This window comes from Homo sapiens, chromosome 19 (assembly GCF_000001405.40).
Source record: "Homo sapiens chromosome 19, GRCh38.p14 Primary Assembly".
NCBI classification, from domain to species: Eukaryota; Metazoa; Chordata; class Mammalia; order Primates; family Hominidae; genus Homo; species Homo sapiens.
The window spans coordinates 51,119,660-51,141,645 of NC_000019.10; the positions used below are offsets into that span (position 1 = coordinate 51,119,660).

General features: G+C 50.2%; 1 protein-coding gene, 1 long non-coding RNA gene and 1 pseudogene across 6 annotated transcripts, besides 1 other annotated feature; 2 read left to right on the forward strand and 1 right to left on the reverse strand.

The window, feature by feature from the left end:
• Window positions 119–16,604, forward strand: SIGLEC9 (sialic acid binding Ig like lectin 9). 5 transcript variants are annotated; one of them, XM_047438615.1, is made up of 12 exons: window positions 119–612; window positions 816–901; window positions 3,047–3,306; window positions 3,414–3,549; window positions 3,685–3,882; window positions 4,142–5,736; window positions 5,938–6,216; window positions 6,422–6,469; window positions 7,371–7,637; window positions 8,290–8,380; window positions 8,755–8,851; window positions 10,232–10,651. In XM_047438615.1, exons 6-12 carry the CDS (start codon window positions 5,316–5,318, stop codon window positions 10,418–10,420), a joined length of 1,392 nt encoding a protein of 463 aa, XP_047294571.1. In that variant the 5' UTR covers window positions 119–612; window positions 816–901; window positions 3,047–3,306; window positions 3,414–3,549; window positions 3,685–3,882; window positions 4,142–5,315; the 3' UTR covers window positions 10,421–10,651. The 5 variants fall into 5 exon arrangements, with proteins under 5 accessions (XP_047294571.1, XP_047294572.1, XP_011525034.1 ...); XM_047438616.1 differs by lacking the exons at window positions 119–612; window positions 816–901 and having other exon boundaries at window positions 2,972–3,306; window positions 4,142–4,239; window positions 4,629–5,736; XM_011526732.4 differs by lacking the exons at window positions 119–612; window positions 816–901; window positions 3,414–3,549; window positions 10,232–10,651 and adding an exon at window positions 9,141–9,382 and having other exon boundaries at window positions 2,972–3,306; window positions 4,142–4,239; window positions 5,224–5,736.
• SIGLEC18P (sialic acid binding Ig like lectin 18, pseudogene) lies at window positions 171–677 on the forward strand (annotated as a pseudogene).
• Window positions 9,268–9,317: an enhancer, noted in NCBI's record as "active region_15009". NCBI's record gives its function as "activates an Ori minimal core promoter by ATAC-STARR-seq in GM12878 lymphoblastoid cells {active_cell/tissue: GM12878}" and the evidence as "EXISTENCE:reporter gene assay evidence [ECO:0000049][PMID:35858748]".
• A 577-nt stretch (window positions 16,605–17,181) lies between the features above and the next one.
• On the reverse strand, window positions 17,182–20,851 carry LOC124904749 (uncharacterized). The gene is made up of 3 exons (XR_007067310.1): window positions 20,765–20,851; window positions 19,126–19,167; window positions 17,182–17,258 (listed from the first exon to the last, which is right to left on the reverse strand). It is a non-coding gene; the product is annotated as an uncharacterized LOC124904749 (long non-coding RNA).
• Between the last annotated feature and the right edge of the window lie 1,135 nt (window positions 20,852–21,986).

Here is a 21,986-nt window from a genome sequence, read left to right on the forward strand (position 1 = left end):
CTCCCATCTCTGGCAGTGGTGGGTCTGACACTGCACTTATGTGCACGATTACCATTTTGTCCAAACCCCGTGGCTTCCTGTTGGGGTTTACCCTTGTTTCTCCCAGACTATTCTTCCCATACGGAGGGACTCTTGTGACCAGACTGTCCTGGGGCAGTGCCTGGTGCTCATGGCTCAAGGCACAGTTCTGCTGGGGCTGGTGCTGCTGCCATCCAGGTGGTGAGAAAGTAAGCAGACCCAGAGGGGTCCTGAGCGGGGAGCGGGGTCAGTGTCTGAGCCTCTCCTTCTCTCCCCAGGGGCTTTGGCTTAGGATCCAGGAGATGGCCTTAGAGTGCAGGAGCTGGTGACGGTGCAGGAGGGAATGTGCAGGCATGTGCTCTGCGCTGTTTTCTACCCCAAGTATTACTGGGCAGGATCCGGCCTAGCTCATGGTTACTGCCAACAGGATGAAGCCACTCCTGGAAGGAACACTCCAGTGGCTACAAACAACCCCAAACAATTGCAGGAGAAGAACCAGGGCCAGTTCACCTCGTTGGTCATCCCCAGACCTACAGCTGCTCCCTGAACCTCAGAGATGCCAATGAGGCGGATACAGGGACGTACTTCTTTCAGGTGGAGAGAGGTTATTACATGAAATACAGTTACGGAAATGAGAAGTTGTTCTTGCATGTGACAAGTAGAGGAAAGTCCCAGAAAAGGAGCTCTTTCTCCTCATTCGGGGTCATGGGAAGCATTCAGGGGCCCTGGGGTGGGGCTCTGGCACAGGGAGTGCCCCCACTCCCAGAAACAGGAATCAGCCCCTTTCTCTTTTCTAGTGCTGACCCAGCCACCTGAGATCCATGTCCAGAAGAGCTGCAATCAGGTGACCCTGGAAATCTGACTTGCACCGTATCATGGGCCGGTGAGAAGGGAACCCCACCAAATTTCTTCTGGATAAGAGAAGCCACCAATTTTACAGTCTCCAAGACCCCTCTTCCCGACCAGTCCTCAGTTCTCAGCCTTATCCCACAGCCATGTGACCATGGCAGCAACCTCACCTGTCAGGTGAAGTTCCTCCGAGCTGGTGTGACCATGGGGAGAACCATCCAGCTCAATGTCTCTTATGAGTGGTGGATCAGGACCCCCATGCCCAGGGCCCTGAGAACAATGGGTGTCAGGAGGGAAGGGAGGTCAGAATCAGGAATTCTTTTTTTTTTTTTTTTTTAAGACAGAGTCTCGCTATGTCACCCAGGCTTGAGTGCAGTGGCGCAATCTCTGCTCACTGCAGCCTCCGCCTTCCAGGCTCAAGCGATCCTCCTGCCTCAGCCTCCCAAGTAGCAGAGACTACAGGTGGCACCACCATGTCCAGCTAATTTTTAAATTTTGGGCAGAGATGGGTTCTCACTGTGTCACCCAGTTTGGTGTTGAACTCTTAGGCTCAAGTGATCCTCCTGCCTCGGCCTCCCAAAGTGTTGGGATTACAGGCGTGCACCACTGTGCCTGGCCAGAGTATGAGTTTTTTTGTTTTTTGTTTTGAGATGGAGTCTCGCTCTGTCACCCAGGCTGGAATGCAGTGACATGATCTCGGCTCACTGTAACCTATGCCTCCCGAGTTCAGGTGATTCTTATGCCTCGGCCTCTGGAGTAGCTGGGATTACAGGCACCTGCCACCATGCCCGGCTCACCCTTGCCTGGCTCAGCTTTGAGCTCTGTCTTGATGCCTCTCCTACTTTCTGCCCCTTGATCCTCCTCTTATGCATGGCGTCTCTCTTCCCCCATTTACCCCATTCAGGATGCAGCACTTCCTCCAAATGTCACCCTTTTCATCCACTGTACTCATGAGCCAGTGGGTGCTGTAACTTCCCTTCCTGAACAATGTCTCCCGTCATGCCCTCCTTGCTTAGTCCCCTGTCCTCCATCAGCATGACCAGGCCCTTTGCTGTCTTTTTTTTTTTTTTTTTTTTGAAGATGAAGTTTCGCTCTTGTCGTCCAGGCTGGAGTGCGGTGGCAGGATCTCGGCTCACTGCAACCTCCGCCTCCTTGGTTCAAGTGATTCTCCTGCCTCAGCCTTCTGAGTAGCTGGGATTACAGGAGCATGCCACCATGCCTGGCTAATTTTTGTACTTTTAGTAGAAACAACTTTTCACCATGTTGGTCAGGGTGGTCTCGAACTCCTTGACCTCAGGTGATCCAACCGCCTTGGCCTCCCAAAGTGCTGGGGTTACAGATCTGAGCCGCCGCACCCAGCCTCTTTGCTGTCTTGATCATTGTTCCATGCCCCTCCCCAGCCTCCCATCTTCCCTTCATGCTGTGCCCCTGATAGCACAAGCCCAGAAAGACCTTCCTGTACCCAGTACCAGCCCCACCCCTTCCTGGCCCAGAGTCCCCTGTGACTCCTCGGCACCCTCAGTCTAAGCTCCTCAGCTGGTCATGCCCCAACACCTCCATGTCCCCTTGGAAGACCCCAGATATATGTGCAGGTCTCTTCATCTGCCAGACTGTTTCAGAGCCTTTGCACATCCCTCGTCCTTCACTTGTGATGCCTGTCTGTCTTGCGTCAATATGACCCACTCCCCCTTCCAATCTCAGTTCAGCCTCCTTCCCTCCAGGGTCTGTCAGCTAGCGTGGACTCCGGGATTTGTGTACATAAGAGCATGAGCCGGGCCAGGCTTGGTGGCTCACGCTTGTAATGCCAGCACTTTGGGAGGCTGAGGTGGGCAGATCACGAGGTCAGGAGTTCAAGACCAGCCTGACCAACATGGTGAAATCCCGTCTCTACTAAAAATACAAAAATTAACCTGGCGTGGCGGCACATGCCTGTAATCCCAGCTACTCAGGAGGCTGAGGCAGGAGAATCGCTTGAACGTGGGAGGCGGAGCTTGCAGTGAGCTGAGATCACGGCACTGTACTCTAGCCTGGGTGACAGAGCAAGACTCCATCTCAAAAAAAAAAAAAAAAAGCATGAGTCAAACAGTCATGTGTCTTCTGTCTCATTCCGAATGGGAGGTAAGGGAGAAACCGACCTCTCAGCACCACTCTTCCTGCTTTCTCTGTTTTTTTCGTCCAGCCCCAAAGACCCTGAACAATGGTACACCACTGCCTGTCCTGGAGGGAGAGTCCCTGTGGTCTGTGTGGCTGACAGCACCCCACCTCCCAACCCCGCCCGGCTGAGCTGGTCCTGAGAGGGAAGAACACTGAATTCCTCCCAGCTCTCAGCACCCGGGGGCCTGGAGCTGCCTCAGATAGGGGCTGGGACGGAGGAGCATTGACCTGTTGGGCTCACCACCCACTGCGATTTCAGCACATTTCCCTGAGCCTCTGTGCAGAGTGAGTTGCAGGACAGCTGCTGAGGCAGGCAGCCTAGTCGGGTGTTTGGGCTGTCAGAGGGGTGGAGGCCTGGGAACAGAATCTCACACGCTTCTACCCTTTCCCAGGAAGCCCCTCTGGCTACAGATGTGTGAGTGAAAAGCAGGAGGGCTTCTGGCCCCTGGTTCTCACCTGATCAGGGGGCCATCCTGGGCACTGGCTTCCCCCCAACCCCCATGGCCTCACCTGGAGCTACTACTCCAGGTGAGCAGGCCTGCTCTTTTCTAGGGAAGCCGAAGGATTGTTCCCCGAGTTCCAGGTGGGGCTGAGCTGTCCTGTCCCGCCTGAGTTAGAATTGAAGTGGCCGATGCTAATCTGAGGCCCGTGTTGGCTCTGCAGGTGTGGAGGGCCCCAGGGGAGCAGTGCTGAGAGGCCTGACTGAGCCCCTCCTGCTCAAGACAGAACTCAGATGTGGACACCCAGCCCTGCAGAACAGATGCAGGACAACACTGTCAGCCATGGCTCAGCCCTTCTGACCATTGCAGTTGAGATGCTGCAACTTCCCAGGGAGCGACTGGGCAAACATGGGGGCCTGAGGTATTCACGGCAACGTGCACAGATGATAAAACTACCTAGAAAAGCATGGAGACCATTAGCGTTAAAGTGAGGCTGGGGCTGCTTCAGGAGGAAGTGGGGTGTGGCTGACAGGAAGTGGGGTAACAAAGAGGAGGTGTTGCGGCATCCCCAGTGTTCTGTTTCTCTAAGCATGTTCATATGTGTAAACCGCTGAGATTTTTTCTTGGGGGGAAGACATTTTTATCTATATGGCTTATATTTCTCCCAAAAATATTTCTAGAAAACTGACATCGGTCTAAGGAGGCTCCACCACACAGGATACTCCCAGTTCCTCCCAGCCCAGCCACACAGTTACAAAAAATCTTCTGCTGAATTCAGGTGCATGTTTCTTCTCCCATGAAATCCTGCCCATCGCGGAGGGTGCATGCCCCGGGGCTGGTGTCCTCACTCCACATCTCCTGTTCACCGGGACCCCTGGGAGCAGAGCTTGCAGAAGCAAAGCCCCAGGGCCAGCTGATCCCTCATGTTCTGGAGTAACCAGGGAAGTGTGGCTGAGCGAGACATCGGTGGTGAAGAAACCCTTCGTGGTGCAGTGAGGAAAGGAGAAATATCTTCCCTTTTGAAATCTGCCCCTTTTCTTCCGAATTTCCTCCCTTCCAAGCCCCACAGTACAACAGTCACAGCCTCAGTTTCCCAGACCTCCTGCGAGCCAGGCTCCCCTCTGTGTCCTTGGCGTGTATCAACACATAGAATCCTCACCTCCACAGCCCCATGTCCCTCTGCTCAGTCCTCCTGAGATTGAACCCCTGACCTACGGGAGAGTGACCCCATCCTGCCTGTGCCCCCCAACTGAAGCTCCTGCCGTGGACAGCTCAGACGTCAGGAGCCTCCATGTCTCCCCTCCGCACAGTGACCCCTTGGGGACAGTGTCCAGCTCTGCTGTGTTGACCTCGTTGTGCAGAAAGGGGGTGCCCACCTCGTGCTTGCTTGGGGGGGATGAGAGGCTGCCTGCTCACCCCACCTGCACCCCCATCTCTCATGGCCCCAAGTCCCACCTCTGAGCTACGCAGATATCCACAGCCTCTGACTCAGGGGTCTGGCCAGATGGGACTCATTTTCACCCTGCAGAAAATGTCACCTAAGGGGAAGGGCATTGAGAGGGAGGCAGGAGGTGGGGTGGGCCCTGCATGGGGTGGGAATCTGGGTGAGTCTGTCTCCCGCTCTGGCCTCAGGGACCCAGGAGTGAACATGGGGTGGTGGACGGTGGATCTCCCAGGGCTGACCCGGGCCTGACAGTGTCTGGGTGTAAAGTTCCTCCTCTGAGGAGGTCACTGTTCCGACCTCGCCCCTGTCTTCCTGTAGGGCCTCCTCTAAGTCTTGAGCCCGCAGTTCCTGAGAGAAGAACCCTGAGGAACAGACGTTCCCTCGCGGCCCTGGCACCTCTAACCCCAGACATGCTGCTGCTGCTGCTGCCCCTGCTCTGGGGGAGGGAGAGGGCGGAAGGACAGACAAGTAAACTGCTGACGATGCAGAGTTCCGTGACGGTGCAGGAAGGCCTGTGTGTCCATGTGCCCTGCTCCTTCTCCTACCCCTCGCATGGCTGGATTTACCCTGGCCCAGTAGTTCATGGCTACTGGTTCCGGGAAGGGGCCAATACAGACCAGGATGCTCCAGTGGCCACAAACAACCCAGCTCGGGCAGTGTGGGAGGAGACTCGGGACCGATTCCACCTCCTTGGGGACCCACATACCAAGAATTGCACCCTGAGCATCAGAGATGCCAGAAGAAGTGATGCGGGGAGATACTTCTTTCGTATGGAGAAAGGAAGTATAAAATGGAATTATAAACATCACCGGCTCTCTGTGAATGTGACAGGTAAGGCACAGGCTCCAGGAAAGGCCACAGGGAAAGGTCATGGGGGCGGCAGGGAAAGGCTGGGATGGAGCCCCTGCCCCAGGAGAGGGCTTAGGGTGAAGCGAGTTGGCTCAGGGCAGGAGCTGGACCAGAGCCTGAGCTCCCCCCAGGGCTGCACCATGGATCCTCTGACCTGATCCTGAGTCCCCCTCTCTTCACCAGCCTTGACCCACAGGCCCAACATCCTCATCCCAGGCACCCTGGAGTCCGGCTGCCCCCAGAATCTGACCTGCTCTGTGCCCTGGGCCTGTGAGCAGGGGACACCCCCTATGATCTCCTGGATAGGGACCTCCGTGTCCCCCCTGGACCCCTCCACCACCCGCTCCTCGGTGCTCACCCTCATCCCACAGCCCCAGGACCATGGCACCAGCCTCACCTGTCAGGTGACCTTCCCTGGGGCCAGCGTGACCACGAACAAGACCGTCCATCTCAACGTGTCCTGTGAGTGCTGGGCCGGGACGCCTGGGTCCCTGATGGGGTGAGCGTCAAGCCTGGACACTGGGTGCTGGGTCCCGGAATCTGGGCTGGTGGTGGGGTCAGGAGGACACTGGCTCTGCCTTCCCTGTTTATGCGGCTCCTGGGGACAGACAGGGCCAGTGTCCCCAGCCCTCACAGTGATGCGGGTCTCCATGTCTTTCTGTCCCAGACCCGCCTCAGAACTTGACCATGACTGTCTTCCAAGGAGACGGCACAGGTAGGATGGAGCTCCCTCCCTGGGGCTGGAGGAGCAGGGCCTTCAGGTCAGGATGGGGCTGGCTTATTCCTCAACCTGGACTCACTTTGGCAAACAGGGATGTCCTTGTGGGTGAACTCAGGGCCCCTCTGTATCCTTAGGCCCCAAGGCCACTTGTTCCCATCCTCCCATCACCTCCCTTGGACTCCCCCACACACCCCCCCCTCAGCCTCAAACAAGAAGAGGGTGGCATTCACACAGCAGGACCAGGCTTTGAGGCTCCTTCTCATGTATCTCCTGAATACATCTCCACCCTTATCTGTTTATTTCTGATAGTTCTGATCTAAGTACTTCTGGACAGGTGATAAATGTCCATGGGCAAAAATTCAAATTGCAGAGCAAAGGCTCTCCTCCGATGCCTGCCCCCCTCCCCAGAACCAACCACTGTCCATCCAGGCTGCCCTGAGTCTCGGTTTGTACACCTGGAGGATCTCAGAGGTGGTTTGACGTCCGTAGTGAGACTGTCCGCACCCTCCTCTAGGGCTGTGTGTGAGTCCACTGCATGGATGGACTCTGATTTTGTGGCATCTCCTAATGGAAGATCACGGCACTAATTTCATCCTACGGCAGGATAGAACAATCTTGTATCTACTTCCACAGGAATATCTAAGCCTGTGGGTTAAGTTCCTAAAAGCAAAATGTAGCTACATTATATGTTCTTTCTTATTTTGAAAGATAAGCCCAAACTGTTCTCGATGAAGCGGGGAGAAGTTTACATTCCCAGCAGTGAGTGGTGAAAGTGTGTGTTTCCAGAACTTCAGTCTATGTCTGTGTGTCAGTTGCTGTCATCAGTCTCTTTCTGTATCCTTCCTTTTTCTCCAGATCTATGTATCTCTCTGACCCTCTGTCTCTTTTTCTACAGTATCCACAGTCTTGGGAAATGGCTCATCTCTGTCACTCCCAGAGGGCCAGTCTCTGCGCCTGGTCTGTGCAGTTGATGCAGTTGACAGCAATCCCCCTGCCAGGCTGAGCCTGAGCTGGAGAGGCCTGACCCTGTGCCCCTCACAGCCCTCAAACCCGGGGGTGCTGGAGCTGCCTTGGGTGCACCTGAGGGATGCAGCTGAATTCACCTGCAGAGCTCAGAACCCTCTCGGCTCTCAGCAGGTCTACCTGAACGTCTCCCTGCAGAGTGAGTGCACCAGTATGCTGGGGAGGGGCTGGAGAGGAGAACACACCTCCTCCACCCTTAGTAACTGCTGAGCGTGGACCTTCAGAGAGGAGCTCCGCTCTGGTCTGTGCTCAGCTGTGAGGTCTGGAACTTCCCTGGGACCCACAGCACCACTGTCCTCTTCCTGCCAGGGAAGGGTTGTGGGGTGGGGAGAGGGCAGGAGTGGATCTCAGAGGGGACAGGATGGGGCCGGACAGGTGTGTTTAGGGAGACAAGCGCCTTTCTTTGCAGGGCTGAACTGGAGTCACACAACTGAGATACTTGCTTTGAGCATCAAATTAAAAAAAAGAAAAAGCCCAGCAAGTCAGCAATCAAATGAAATCATATTGCAATGCAATAATCTTTTAAAAAAAGTAAAAATTGAATGCAAAACAAATTCATTAATGGATAAAATATTAAAATTGTGAAAAAAAACCCCAAAAGGAATGGCTGGCACTTGCACGCCTCACTGGCCTCAGGAAGAGTCTCTCCATGTCCTGCTCTCTCTCATTCCTGTTCTTTGTGTCTGGAAAGGGGAAGTGGAAATAGAAGTCTAGGACCCTACAGGAAGTGGGAGGAGAAGAGACCCAATTCTCTATGATATATCACAAAAATAACTCCCATCTGTCAACAGGCAAAGCCACATCAGGAGTGACTCAGGGGGTGGTCGGGGGAGCTGGAGCCACAGCCCTGGTCTTCCTGTCCTTCTGCGTCATCTTCGTTGTGTAAGCATGGACCCTAGAGAGGGAGGGAGGGAGAGCCCTGGGGGAGGACAGGCTGGAAGCTGGATCCCTGAAGCCAGAGCTGGAGGGACCTGGATGGGTCAAGAGCTTGGGGCAAGAAGGAGGTCACAGGTGCATGGTGAGAATTCCATGTGGGCCTGTGTTTGAGGAGCTTTGAGTCTGTGGCAAACCTTGGTACCCACTGTCCAGGAGAAGAGAGCCTCTGTTCTCAACCTTGGGGTCTCTAAGACTGGACCACTGCTTTCCCACCTCAGTCACCCCTGCAGTCCCTTAATAGGAAACACATGGGGGTACCTGGTCTGCCCACCGCACCCCAATCTGACCACACTGAAAGGCTCTCTGGTCTCTTCACTCAGAGTGAGGTCCTGCAGGAAGAAATCGGCAAGGCCAGCAGCGGGCGTGGGAGATACGGGCATAGAGGATGCAAACGCTGTCAGGGGTTCAGCCTCTCAGGTGAGTGATGTGGACTCTCCACAGCCAGCATGTAGCCTGGACACCTCCCACAGGATGACCCCCAGGACTAATCAGCTGGGCGTAGCCAAAGTTACCTCCTCTCTGTTCTTCCTTTCTTCTCTGTAGCCCCAAATCACAATGTTTGGTTGGTTTCCTCCCCTAAGAACAGCTTTTATTGTCTCTGCTCCCTATCCTGACCCTTCATTGCTGAGGCCTGAGGATCTCTGTCTTTTGTTCCCTCACCTGTCTGCCTGTCTCCTCTCCTTTCCTGCCTGGGGGGACTGTCCAGAAGACATCATCGTCCAGTTCCTCTGCATTTGAACAGCTGTTCCCCCACCCCTCAATACCGTTTAGAGCAGAAGCCAGCAAATACTATCTGTCAGGGACAGATAGAAACTATTTTCGGCTTCATGGGCCACACAGTCTCATTGCAGCTCCTCAAATCTGCTGTTGTAGCAAGAAAGAAGCCATATACCCTGTGTAAACAAATGAATATGGCTGTGTGCCAATAAAACTATTCACAAACATAAAGAGTGGGCTGGATATGACTCAGATACTGTAGTTTGACAACCCCTGATCTAGAGTAAAAATCCCAAACTCTATAGCCTGCAGCAGTGCACATTCTGACTTTTTTTGTTTTTTTTTTTTTTTGTTGTTGTTGTTTTTGAGACAGAGTCTTGCTCTGTCGCCCAGGCTGGAGTGCAGTGGTGCGATCTCTGCTCACTGCAACTTCCACCTTCCGGGTTCAAGCCATTCTCCTGCCTCAGCCTCCGGAGTAGCTGGGACTACAGGCGCCTGCCACCACGCCCAGCTAATTTTTTTGTATTTTTAGTAGAGACGGGGTTTCACTGTGTTAGCCAGGATGGTCTCAGTCTCCTGACCTTGTGATCTGCCCACCTTGGCTTCCCGAAGTGCTGGGATTACAGGCGTGAGCCACTGTGACCGGCCACATTCTGACCTTTTAAGCACCTACCTCTCCACTAGGGCAAGAACAAGGGTGAAGTGAGTGAGGCTGTTGCCTCAAGTGCATTTTTTCGTTTGTTTGTTTTTGTTTTTTGAGATGGAGTCTCGCTCTGTCACCCAGGATGTAGTGCAGTGGCACAATCTTGGCTTACTGCAACCTCTGCCTCCTAGGTTCAAGCGATTCTCCTGCCTCAGCCTCCTGAGTAGCTGGGATTAAAGGTGCACACCACCACACCTGGCTAATTTTGTATTTTTAGTAGAGACAGGGTTTCACCATGTTGGCCAGGCTGGTCTCAAACTCCTGACCTCAGGTGATCCGCCTACCTCAGCCTCCTGAAGAGCTGGGATTACAGATGTGAGCCACCGCGCCCCATCCTCACTGTCTGCTCTGACTCACTTCTCTCTCCCATGTCTCAGGGGCCCCTGACTGAACCTTGGGCAGAAGACAGTCCCCCAGACCAGCCTCCCCCAGCTTCTGCCCGCTCCTCAGTGGGGGAAGGAGAGCTCCAGTATGCATCCCTCAGCTTCCAGATGGTGAAGCCTTGGGACTCGCGGGGACAGGAGGCCACTGACACCGAGTACTCGGAGATCAAGATCCACAGATGAGAAACTGCAGAGACTCACCCTGATTGAGGGATCACAGCCCCTCCAGGCAAGGGAGAAGTCAGAGGCTGATTCTTGTAGAATTAACAGCCCTCAACGTGATGAGCTATGATAACACTATGAATTATGTGCAGAGTGAAAAGCACACAGGCTTTAGAGTCAAAGTATCTCAAACCTGAATCCACACTGTGCCCTCCCTTTTATTTTTTTAACTAAAAGACAGACAAATTCCTACCTCTCTGTACCTTGGTTTCCTGCTCTGTAAAACAGGAATGAGAAGCCCTACTTGCAAGGTTGTGGTCACCATTCCAGGAGTCACATCCCGTTAGAGCTCCTGGCACAGGTGTATGCCGAGCACTGATGGATCGCTGTGCTTTGAACACAAAGGTCCTGCTGGGAACCTCTCCTGATTCTGGTGGCAACTAGTACTTATATGTCTGTGTCACTTGCCTGCAAAATAGCGATTCTGCAACTTTCCAGGAAATAACCTCAGCCTGCAAATCAGGTCTAGGTAGCATCTGGATCCTGCCCACCTCTTCAGCCTCATCTGCCCACCCTGTGACTGCTAGGCCGCCTTACTCTCTGCAGTCTACGTATTGTGCACAGTCCAGTGGGAATCTTTAGGACACACTGAGCTCTCTCCGCACTGCTCACAGCCCATCCATGGCTCCTGGATCCTGAACCTCCCATCACATCCTCTTCGTGACATCACTCTCCCACTTCAGTCCACTCCTCCATCTTCACCACTTAACCCACTGGTCCCTCTGGTCTTTTCCAAATCATTTGCAACATGCCCTGTTGGTTCATACCTCAGTCCTTGCACACTGGGGACCCTCCTCCTAGAACGCCCTCCTCCTGGGCCTTCTTCTGTCTCTGTCTTTGAAAATGGAGTTCAAGGATTGGACTTCTGGGTTGAGCTGAGGGAGAGAGTGAAGCAGCAGCTCATGATCTCCCTCCTCTAAAGCCAAACCCAGGGAATGAGAAACGTTTCCAAAGGGGCACAGGATCATCTGGCAAATTAAACAACATGATCCAAAAAAATTTACCTACATGCAGCACCCGAACGAGGAAAGGGACATCTCACAACAATCACTTTATGCAGTAGCCCTGATAGGAAGAAATCAAAGGACTGGAGGAAGCACTAAAACTTCCCTAAATCTAGACTCTTGCCCATTTACGGCAGCATCAAAAAACCGTAAAGTACCAAGGAACAATTTTTTAAAAATCATGGCCGGGCACAGTGTCTCACGCCTGTAATTCCAGCACTTTGGGAGGCCGAGGTGGGCAGATCACGAGGTCAGGAGATCGAGACCATCCTGGCTAACATGGTGAAACCCTGTCTCTACTAAAAATACAAAAATTAGCCGGGCGTGGTGGCGGGTGCCTGTAGTCCCAGCTACTCGGGAGGCTGAGGCAGGAGAATGGCGTGAACCCGGGTGGTGGAGCTTGCAGTGAGCTGAGATCGTGCCACTGCACTCCAGCCTGGGAGACAGAGCGAGACTCCGTCTCAAAAAAAATAAATAAATAAATAAATAAATAAGTAAAAAATCATATCCGAGCTGGGCGTGGTGGCTCACGCCTGTCATCCCAACACTTTGGGAGGCTGAGGAGGGCAAATCACTTCAGGTCAGGGGTTCAAGACCAGCCTGGCCAACATGGTGAAACCCCATGTCTACTAAAAATACAAAAATTAGCCAGGCGAGGTGGCGTATGCCTGTAGTCCTTGCTACTTGGGAGGCTGAGGCAGGAGAATTGCTTGAACCCGGGAGGCGGAGGTTGCAGTGAGCTGAGATTGTGCCATTGCACTCTAGCCTGGGCGACAGAGCAAGAGTCTGTGTCAAAAAAAAAAAAAAAAAATCCTATGCTATGGTTTGGATATGGTTTGTTTGGCCCTGCCAAGCCTCCTGTTGATATTTGATGCCCAGTGTTGGCGGTGGGGCCAAATGGGAGGTGTTCAGGTCCCGGGATTGGATCCCTCATGAATGGCTTGGTGCTGTCTTCAAGGTAATGAGAGAGTTCTCACTCTGTTACTTCCTGTGAGAGTTTCTCCAAGAGCTGGGTGTTAAAAAGACATTGGCACCTCCCCTCCCCAGCCCGTGCTTCCTCTCTTGCCGTATTGTCTGCACATGCAGACTTCCTTTTGCCTTCCACCATGAGTGGAAGCTTCCTGAGACCCTCACCAGAAGCAAAGGCTGGTGCCAAGCATTTTCTATGTGGTGCAGAACTGTGAGCCAAATAAACTGTGGGGGGTGCACGGCAACATATTCAAGCTTATGTACAAGGCATTTGAGGTCGAGGCATGGAAAAATACTGAGGCACCGTGTGCGTGTTGTTTGTGCATGAGATTGAAACTCCTTGACCCTGAAAACAGGGCAAGGAACGGAATGTGTGATAAGGAGCGCGGAAAGCAGCCTCCTGAGACTGTAGTCTGAGTGTTTTTACCAGGCCATATGTGTCTCATGACCCGACCGCAAAAGGCCATCTGGTGGACATTTTGGTTTAACAAACCCTTTCGAGAAACACTTGGCGGACGGATTCTGGGGCGGCACTCTTTCAGAGATGCTGCTGCCGCCGCATCCCGCTCAGCTGGAATTGTCTGAGTGCTTCATTCTTGGCGTTCACTGCAGCTACAAGCTGTATAAACCTCTTTTCTTTATAAATTACCCAGCCTCAGATATTACTCTATAGCAACACAAATGAACTAAGATAACACGGAATGCTTCTGTACTGATGAATATAGAACATTTTTGAGAGACTTAAGGAAGGCCCAAATGAAGGAAGAAATATATCACGTTCATGGATTAGAAGGCAAAAATGGTTAAAATGTCAGTTGTCTGCATATTGATTTAGGTAATCCCTGTCAAAATTCCTATATATATATAAAATATATGTATATGTGTATATGTATGTACATAAGTATAGATGAGTGTATATGTATGTATATTGTAAATATAAGTTTATATATATACATATATAGTTATAAATTGATAAGTTGGTTCTGAAATTTATATAAACACATAAAAACCTAGAATAACCAAATCATTGTGATAAGAAACACATTTAGAGAAGGCAGACTTTAACACTAGAGTAATACAGAGAGTGTGGTGTGGACTAGAGTACAGTCTACAAATGGACCCACACATATACAGTCAACTGAATAGCATCAAGTCTATTCAATTGGGACAGGAAAGACTTTTAATAAATGTTGGTAGGTGGTCGGGCGCGGTGGCTCACACCTGTAATCCCAGCACTTTGGGAGGCTGAGGTGGGTGGATCACTTGAGGTCAGGAGTTCAAGACCAGCCTGGATAACATGGTGAAACACCATCTCTACCAAAAATACAAAAAAAAAAAAAAAAAATTAGCTGGGTGTGGTGGCAGGCAACTGTAATCCCAGGTACTAGGGAGGCTGAAGCAGAATTGCTTGAACCCAGGAGGCAGAGGTTGCAGTGAGCCAAGATTGTGCCACTGTACTCCAGCCTGGCGACAGAGTGAGACCCCATCTTGAAAATAAATAAATAAATAAAAAATAAATGTTAGCGGAACAAGTGAAATTAGGGTTGGTAAAAACGAGTGTTGAGCTGTTTCTCACATCACACGCAAAAAATTAGCCTGAAGCGAATCATAAACCTAAAAGTAAAAGCGGAGACTATAATGTTTGTACAACTGTGCTGTTTGATATGGTAACCACTAGCCACATGTGGCTACTGAGCACTTGAAATGTCCTACATTTAGTGAGAAAATAATATAAAAATCTAAGTAATTAATATTTAAAATTGATTACATGTTTCCATGTAACGGCATAATACTCATCAATATATAATAACAATATATAATACATGCAATAGCTTGAATAAATTTTGAAAACATCTTGAGTCAAAGAAGCCAGATGCAAAAGAATACATGCTCTGTAGTTTCACTTATATGAAGTTCAAGAACAGGCCAAACTAATCTACAAAGACAGAAATTCATAACAGTGACTGCCTCAGGTTGGGAGTGGGATTTGGGGATTAACGTGAATGGCACACAGGGGAACTTTCTGGGGTCCTGGGAATTTTATTTCTTTCTTTTCTTTTTTTTTTTTTTTTTTTTTTTTTTTGAGAAGGAGTCTAGCTCTGTTGCCGGGCTGGAGTGCAGTGGCTCACTGCAACCTCCGCCTCCAGGGTTCAAGCGATTCTCCTGCCTCAGCCTCCTGAGTAGCTGGGATTACAGGCACGGGCCACCATGCCCAGCTAATTTTTGTATTTTTAATAGAGATGACCACCATGTTGGCCAAGACCACCATGTTGGCCAGGATGGTCTTGATCTCTTGACCCTGTGATCCAACCACCTCTGCATCCCAAAGTGCTGGGATTACAGGCGTGAGCCACTGCGCCCAGCCAGTCCTAGGAATAGTCTATGTCTTAACTGGGATAGTAATTATGTGGTTATGAATCAAAACACATTGAATCACGCAAATAAAATCTATGTATTTTACTGTATGTAAATTTACCTTTCATGAAAGAGAAATTAAAAACTCTTAAATGATGAAAGCTTTTGGTTCCCTCTTTTTTATTAGACTAGCTAGTGATCTATCAATCTTATTTGTTCTTTCAAAGAACCAACTTTGGGGTATACTGATCTTTTGTAGGAATTTTCGTATCTCAATTTTATTCATTTCAGCTCTGATTTTGGTTATTTGTTTTATTCTGCTAGCTTTGGGGTTGACTTGCTCTTGTTTTTCTAATTCCTCTAGGTGTAATGTTAAGTTGCTAATTTGGGATCTTTCTAACTTTTTGATATGGGTATTCTGGTACATTGCATCTTTACTTTCCTGGATGCTAGGACCAAACTGGACTAGAGTAAATTACGTGGTTCCTTCTGTCCCAAAGAAAGATGTATTTTTAACTCAGGAGCTACATCAGCCCCATCTGGCTACATTAAGCATCCCAGTCTCCTCTGCGTCTCATGCTGGACTCTATGCAAAAGGGACAGCCAGCGAAAGCATTATTGATATGTCAATATTGAGATGTGAGAATTTGATCCTGTCATTATGTTGTTAGCTGGTTGTTATGTAGACGTGATTGTATAGTTGCTTCATAATGTCAGTGGGTTATACACTTAACCACTTAACACCACTTTCTGTGGTGTCATGTAACATTCTTTCACTTCTGTGTTTGGCACTCACTTAAGGACCTCTTATAAGTCAGGTCCGGTGGTAATGAATTTTTTTCAGTTTTTGTTTGTCTGAAAGGGATTTTATTTATCCTTCGTTTATGAAGCTTAGTTTGGCAGGGTATGAAAATCTTGGCTGAAATTTGTTTTCTTTAAGAATGCTGAATATAGGCCCCGAATGTCTTTGGCTTATATGATTTCTGCTAAAAGCTCTTCTGTTAGCCTGATGGGGTTCCCTTTGTACATGACCTGCCTCTTCCTTTTAGCTGCATTGAATATTTTTTCTTTCATGTGAACCTTAGAAAATCTAATGACTCTGTGTCTGGGGGATGGTAATCTTGTACAGTATCTTCCTGGGGTTCTCTGAATTTCCTGAATTTATATGTCAACCTCTCTAGCAAGGTTGGGGAAATTTTTGTGGATGATATCCTCAAATATGTTTTATAAGTTGCTGCGTCTCTCTTTTTCCAGGATTCCAGTGGGCCGTAGGTTTGGTCTCTTTATATAATCCCATATTTGTTGGAGGGTTTTGTCATTTTTTTTAATTCTTTTTTTAAAAATTTTTGTCTGATTGGGTTGATTCAGAGAACTGGTCTTTGAGCTCTGAGATTCTTTTCTCAGCTTAATCTATTCTGATGTTAATACTTCCGCTTGTATTATGAAATTTTTGCAGTTTTTCAGCTCTAACAGATCAGTTTGATTCTCTCTTAAAATGATTATTTTATCTTTCAGATCTTGAATCATTTTATTGGATTTCCTACATTCCTTGGACTGGGTTTCGAGTTTCTCCTGAATCTCCGTGATCTTTGTTGCCATCCAGATTCTGAATTCTATGTCTATCATTTCAGTCATTTCAGACTCATTAAGAACATTGCTGGGGAGATAGTGTGGTCACTTGAAGGTAAAATACTCTGGCTTTTGGATGTGTCAGATTTCTTTCACTGGTTCTTCCTCATCTGTGTGGGCTGATGTTCCTTTAATCTTTGAAGTTGCTGTTCTTTGGATAGGGCTCTTTGCTTTTATATTCTCTGATGCCCTTGAGGGTTTCACAGTGGTATAACTTGGGCTTAGACAACTGCATTTGTTTCTGGATGATTTCAAGGGGCCCAGGCTCAACTCAGCACTCCTGAGCTGCATGCTCTAACTACAGGGACCTGGGACCTGGCCCATGGCTTTTTTTTTTTTTTTTCCTGGCCCTTCAAGGTTAAGCACCTCCTATGCTGGAATGGCCAAGGTGTTCCGGGTCCACTGGCAACAACGCTCCAATAGGGGTTGCTGACAAAGCATTTTGGCAGGGTGGCCATGGGTGATGGGAGTTCCTGCACGTGGTGTGCATCAGCTGCAGGGTGGCCGTGGGTCTTGCAAATCTGCTTGCTAATGTTATGCCTAAGATCACGTTATAAAAGACTAACTTGTGCCTCATTCTCTCTCTCGCTGTCTCTTGCTTTCTCACTTTGATGAAGCTGGAGGCCATGTTGTGAGCTACCTATGGAAAAGCCCATGGTTTCATAACAAAGCTGATTGAGTAGCAAATGTTATTTTCCAGGCAAAAAAATTAAGTGGTAAGTTCTTCTGAATATGCAAGGCAGAAATAATTCCAGTGTTTCATAAACTCTTTCAAGTATGAAAGACATATCAGCCGGGGTGACTCTGGGGAGTTTTTTGCTTTCTCTGTTCCTCACTGAGATCTACATGGAAGGGAAGGGAAAAACACTCGTCTCTAAAAACCTCCCACCTCTGGCACCCATAAGTCTGAAGTTGCACTTATGTGAGGAACTACCACTTTGCCCCTACCCACTGGCTTCCTGTTGGGGTTACTCTTGTTTTTCCAAGCCAGTTCTTCCCACGCCGAGGGAACTTATGATGAGACAGCCCCAGGAAAGTGCCTGACACGTATTCCCTGGGCTGCCCCTTCCCTTCCACATGCTTCCTGAGTGAGCACGTCCACCTTGTGGCTCAGCTGTGAGCCCTGCCCTGATGTCTCCCCCACTTTCTGCCCCTTGAGCCTCTTCTTGGACATGGTGCCTCCATCCCCCACCCCCGACTCTTCAGTTATCCCAGTCAGGACCCAGGACTTATTCCAGTTGCCTCCTGTTTTCAACCACCCCATGCATGAGTCAGGGGTTCCTGTAAACTTCACTTCCCCAAAAATGTCTGCCATCATGCCCTTCCTCCTCCCTCCATTCCCTGTCTCCTCCCCTCTATCTGCATGGCCAGGCCCTTTTCGGTCTTGACGATTGCTCCATTTCCCACCCAACATCCCGGTCTGCAGCCTCTCGCCTCCATGCTGTGGCCCTCGCAGCACAAGCCCTGAAAAATTTTCCTGCATCCAGAGCTGACACTGCCTCTTCCCTGCTCAGGGCCCTCTCTGGTTCCCTGGAACCCTCAGTCCAAGCTGTTCAGCTGATCATGTCCCAGCACCTCCAATTTCCCCCTGGAAGACCCCACACATATTTGCAGGGCCCTTCATCTGCCCGGCTGTCTCATGGCCTGTGCTTTTTCCCCTCCACCTGAGGTGCCCTTAGCCACCTGTTAATATGACCAACTCCCCCACTAGTCTCAGCTCAGCCTCTTTCCCTGCGGGGTCTTTCAGCTTTTTGAACTCCTGGATTTGCATTCGTGAGTATGTGTCACACAGTCAGGTGTCTCCTCTTTCTGTTTTTGTGGGGTTGTGGGAGAGACAGCCTCTCAGCTCCACCCTCCCCGCTCTCACTGTTTTCCTCACTCAACCCTGAAGACCCTGAGCAATGGCACCTCGCTTCCTGTCCTGGAGGGTCAGTCCCTGGGCCTGGTCTGTGTGACTGACAGCAACTCCCCCGCCTCACTGAGCTGGTCTCAGGAGGGAAGAACACTGAATCTCTCCCAGCTCTCAGCAACTGGGATCCTGGAGCTGCCCCAGAAAGGGACTGGAGGTGAAGGCGACCTCACCTGTGAGGCTCAGCACCCACTGGGCTCCCAGCACATTTCCCTGAGCCTCTCTGTGCAGAGGGAGCTGCTGGACGGGTGCTGGGGCAGGCAGCCTGGTCAGGTGTTGGGCTGTGAGAGGGGCCTAGACCTAGGAACAAAACCTCACCCTCTTCTCCCCACTCCCAGGAAGTCCCTCTGGGTGCAGATGTGCGAGTGAAGATCAGGAGGGCTCCCAGCCCCTGGTTCTCACCTAATCAAGGGGCGCTCATGGGCACTGGTTTTTCCTTCACCCGTGGCCTCACCTGGGGCTACTACTCCAGGTGAGCAGGGCTGCTCTTTTCTAGGGAAGCCGAGGGATTGGCCCCCGAGTTCCAGATGGGGCTGAGCTGTCCTGTCCCGCCTGAGTTAGAATTGAAGTGGCCGATGCTAATCTGAGGCCGGTGTTGGCTCTACAGGTGTGGAGGCCCCCAGGGGAGCAGGGCTGAGAGGCCTGACTGAGCCCCTCCTGCTCAAGACAGAACTCAGATGAGGACACCCAGCCCTGCGGGACAGATGCAGGACATCACTGTCAGCCATGGCTCAGCCCTTCTGACCACTGAGATGCTGCAACTTCCCCTCCTGGGAGGGAGCGATTGGGCAAACACTTACCCTTTGCTGGAAATCTCAAGGCACAGCACGGGTGCTCACAATCTGAATACAGAACGAATGAATGAATGAATGAATGAATGAATGAAATGTCTTTCCTTATCTCATGTGAGAGACTTGACAGTTCTTTCACTCTCCAAGTAACATCAGCTTCCCCTGTCCCAGCCCAGTCTGTCCTGGGCAGACAAGATTAATTAAGTGGCTCCTGGGCAGACATTGGTGCAGGAGACAGGGCCCAGGAGACCTGTGTGATTTGGGCAATTCGCTTTCTATCTCTGTCCATTCATGCTGCTACAACAAAATACCATAAACTGGCCAGTTTATAAACAACAGAAATTCATTTCTCACAGTTCTGGAGGCTGAGAAGTCCAAGACCAAGGTGCCAGCAGGTTTGGTGTCTGGAGACAGTTTGCTTCCTCATAGATGGTGCCTTTTCCTTATGTTCTCATGTGGTGGAAGGGCTGTGCAAATTCCCCTGGGTCTCTCAGATGAGGGGACTAATCCCATTAGACTAATCCCAGAGTCCTCATAGCCTAATCGCCTCCCAAATCATTATACCTTCTAATACTATCACATGGGGATTCAAATTTCAACAAATGAATTTTGAGGTGACATATTCAGACCATAGCACTTGTCACTGTGGACCTTGATGTCTTCCTCTCCGAACTGTGGAAGTGGGAGTAGAGGGCTTGTCAGCTCCCCTGGGTCATATGTGGTTCACAAGTTCCTCCTTTCTACAGATTCTGTGGCTTCCTTAAGTCTCTCCTTCCCATTTTTTTTTCTGATTTTAATTGCAAACTGGGGACTGTGGGAAAGAGATGGGCCATGGTCTAGCCCTTCTGAGGCAGGAGGAGCATAGACCAATGGGGCAGGAGCATAGCAAAGAGAATTAAAAGTTGGATAAAGGGCAGAATAAGTAAAAGCAGAGAGCAGAAGCAAGGTGAGGGGACGGGTGAGCAAGAAGCAAGAGGCAGAAGTTGAGCAGCCAAAACAAAAAGTAAGATAGAGAAGTGAGCAAGGACACCCGTGGCCAGCAGGATCTGGACCAAACCAGTAAGGGGCAGTTCTTCAGAGCTATGCATGTGCATTAGAGAGAAAAAGTATCCTTAACATGACCCTGTATGATAATCAGCTCATTAAAGTTCATGCATATGGACTGCATATTATCCATGTACTTAAAATTATGGGATGGGTCAAAGTAACTAAGCAACATACTTAACCATCAAAAAGGCAGGCACTGGCCAGGCGCGGTGGCTCACGCCTGTAATCCCAGCACTTTGGGAGGCCAAGGTGGGCGGATCACTTGAGGTCAGGAATTCAGGACCAGCCTGGCCAACCTGGTGAAACCCCATCTCTACTAAAAATACAAAAATTAGCCAGGCATGGTGGCGGGCGCCTGTAGTCCCAGCTACCAGGGAGGCAGAGGCAGAAGAATCGCTTCAACCCAAAAGGTTGAGGTTGCAGTGAGCCAAGATTGTGCCACTGCACTCAAGCTTGGGTGACTTCGTCCCCACCTCACCACCACCCCTTCCCCCCGAAAAAAGGCAGACACTGGATAGAGATTTGGCAGCCTTGGGAAGCGAAGAAAAACAAAAAAACAAACAAACAAACATAAAAAGACCCAAAGTAATGCTGATCTCACCTCATAGAGATCAGTTCGCTCTCCCTCTCCAAGAGTGTGATACTGTGCTTAATAAACTGCTGCTTCTTGCTTTGCTGTCTGTGTGTGTCTCATCCAATTCTTTGTTTAAGACACCAAGAGCCTGGAACTGCATGGCACCATCCGGTAACACTTCTGCCCACTGAGATACTGCAAATATCCTTATGGGGAGAGAGTGGCTGGGCAAGGAGGAGGCGCCCAGGAGGCAGATTGGTCTGCAGGATGAGATACTAGCTGCAAATGCAGGGATTGGAGGTGAGGGCGGGGAGTGGCTTCGGACGCCCAAACCCAGCATCTTCCTCTCTCAATCGTTACAGCCAAATGATCTCTAGGTTATGGACAATTAGGGGACAGTGTGGGCTGAGCAGATCAATGCAGTTGTATGGAAGAAAACAGACTGGGATTTTCTATGTATACAACATCTTCAGGAAAACCTACGTGAAGTTAGAATTTTCAAGGCAGCATGTGCCGATGATAAAACTACATAGAACAGCAGGAAGACTATTATCATTAAAGTGAGGCTAGGGGCTCCTTCAGGAGGGAGCGGGGGCATGGCCAATAGGAAAGGGGAATGTAAGGGTGAATGAATTAATAAAATCTCTTTCTTCATTTCAAGGGACAGACTTGACAGTTCTTTTGTGTTCTAGTTCTTCAAGGGTGCTTATTTTGTGTGAATCACTGAGTTGGTTTTTAGGGGACACTTTTATGTACATGTCTTGTGTTTCTCCCCGCTCAAAAAAAACTGTTTCAAGAAAAGCTGGCCTGGATCTAAGGGGGCTGCAGCTTGCAGGATTTTTCCCACTTCCTCCCAGCCCAGTCACACAGTTTAAAATAATCTTCTGTTGAAGTCAGGTGCGTGTTTCTTCTCTCAGAAAATCGCGCCCATCACTGAGGGTGGACGCCCCGGGGCTGGTGTCTTTGCTCCACGTCTCCTGTTCACCTGAACCCCTAGGAGCAGTTCCTGCAGGAGCAAAGCCCCAGGGCCAGCAGACCCCTCACACTCTGCACTAACCAGGCCTCATGAGATAGCAGTGGTGAAGGGAAATGTCCTTGTGCTCAGAGAGCTGTGAGGATGGGAATAGTGTCTGCTCTTTTCATATTGATCCTTTCCCTTATGACTTTCCTGTCTACCAAGCCCCACAATACAACAATCACAGCCTCAGCTTCCCCGGCCTCCTGCAGGCTGGGCTCCCCTCCGTGTCCT

Excerpts from the sequence above, each read along its gene's own strand:
- SIGLEC9 (NM_001198558.1), top strand. The coding sequence starts at position 5,316 with ATGCTGCTGCTGCTGCTGCCCCTGCTCTGGGGGAGGGAGAGGGCGGAA. Across the intron at positions 6,217-6,421 it reads CGTCCATCTCAACGTGTCCT|ACCCGCCTCAGAACTTGACC; the intron begins GTGAGTGCTGGG and ends TTTCTGTCCCAG. Across the intron at positions 7,638-8,289 it reads CCTGAACGTCTCCCTGCAGA|GCAAAGCCACATCAGGAGTG; the intron begins GTGAGTGCACCA and ends ATCTGTCAACAG.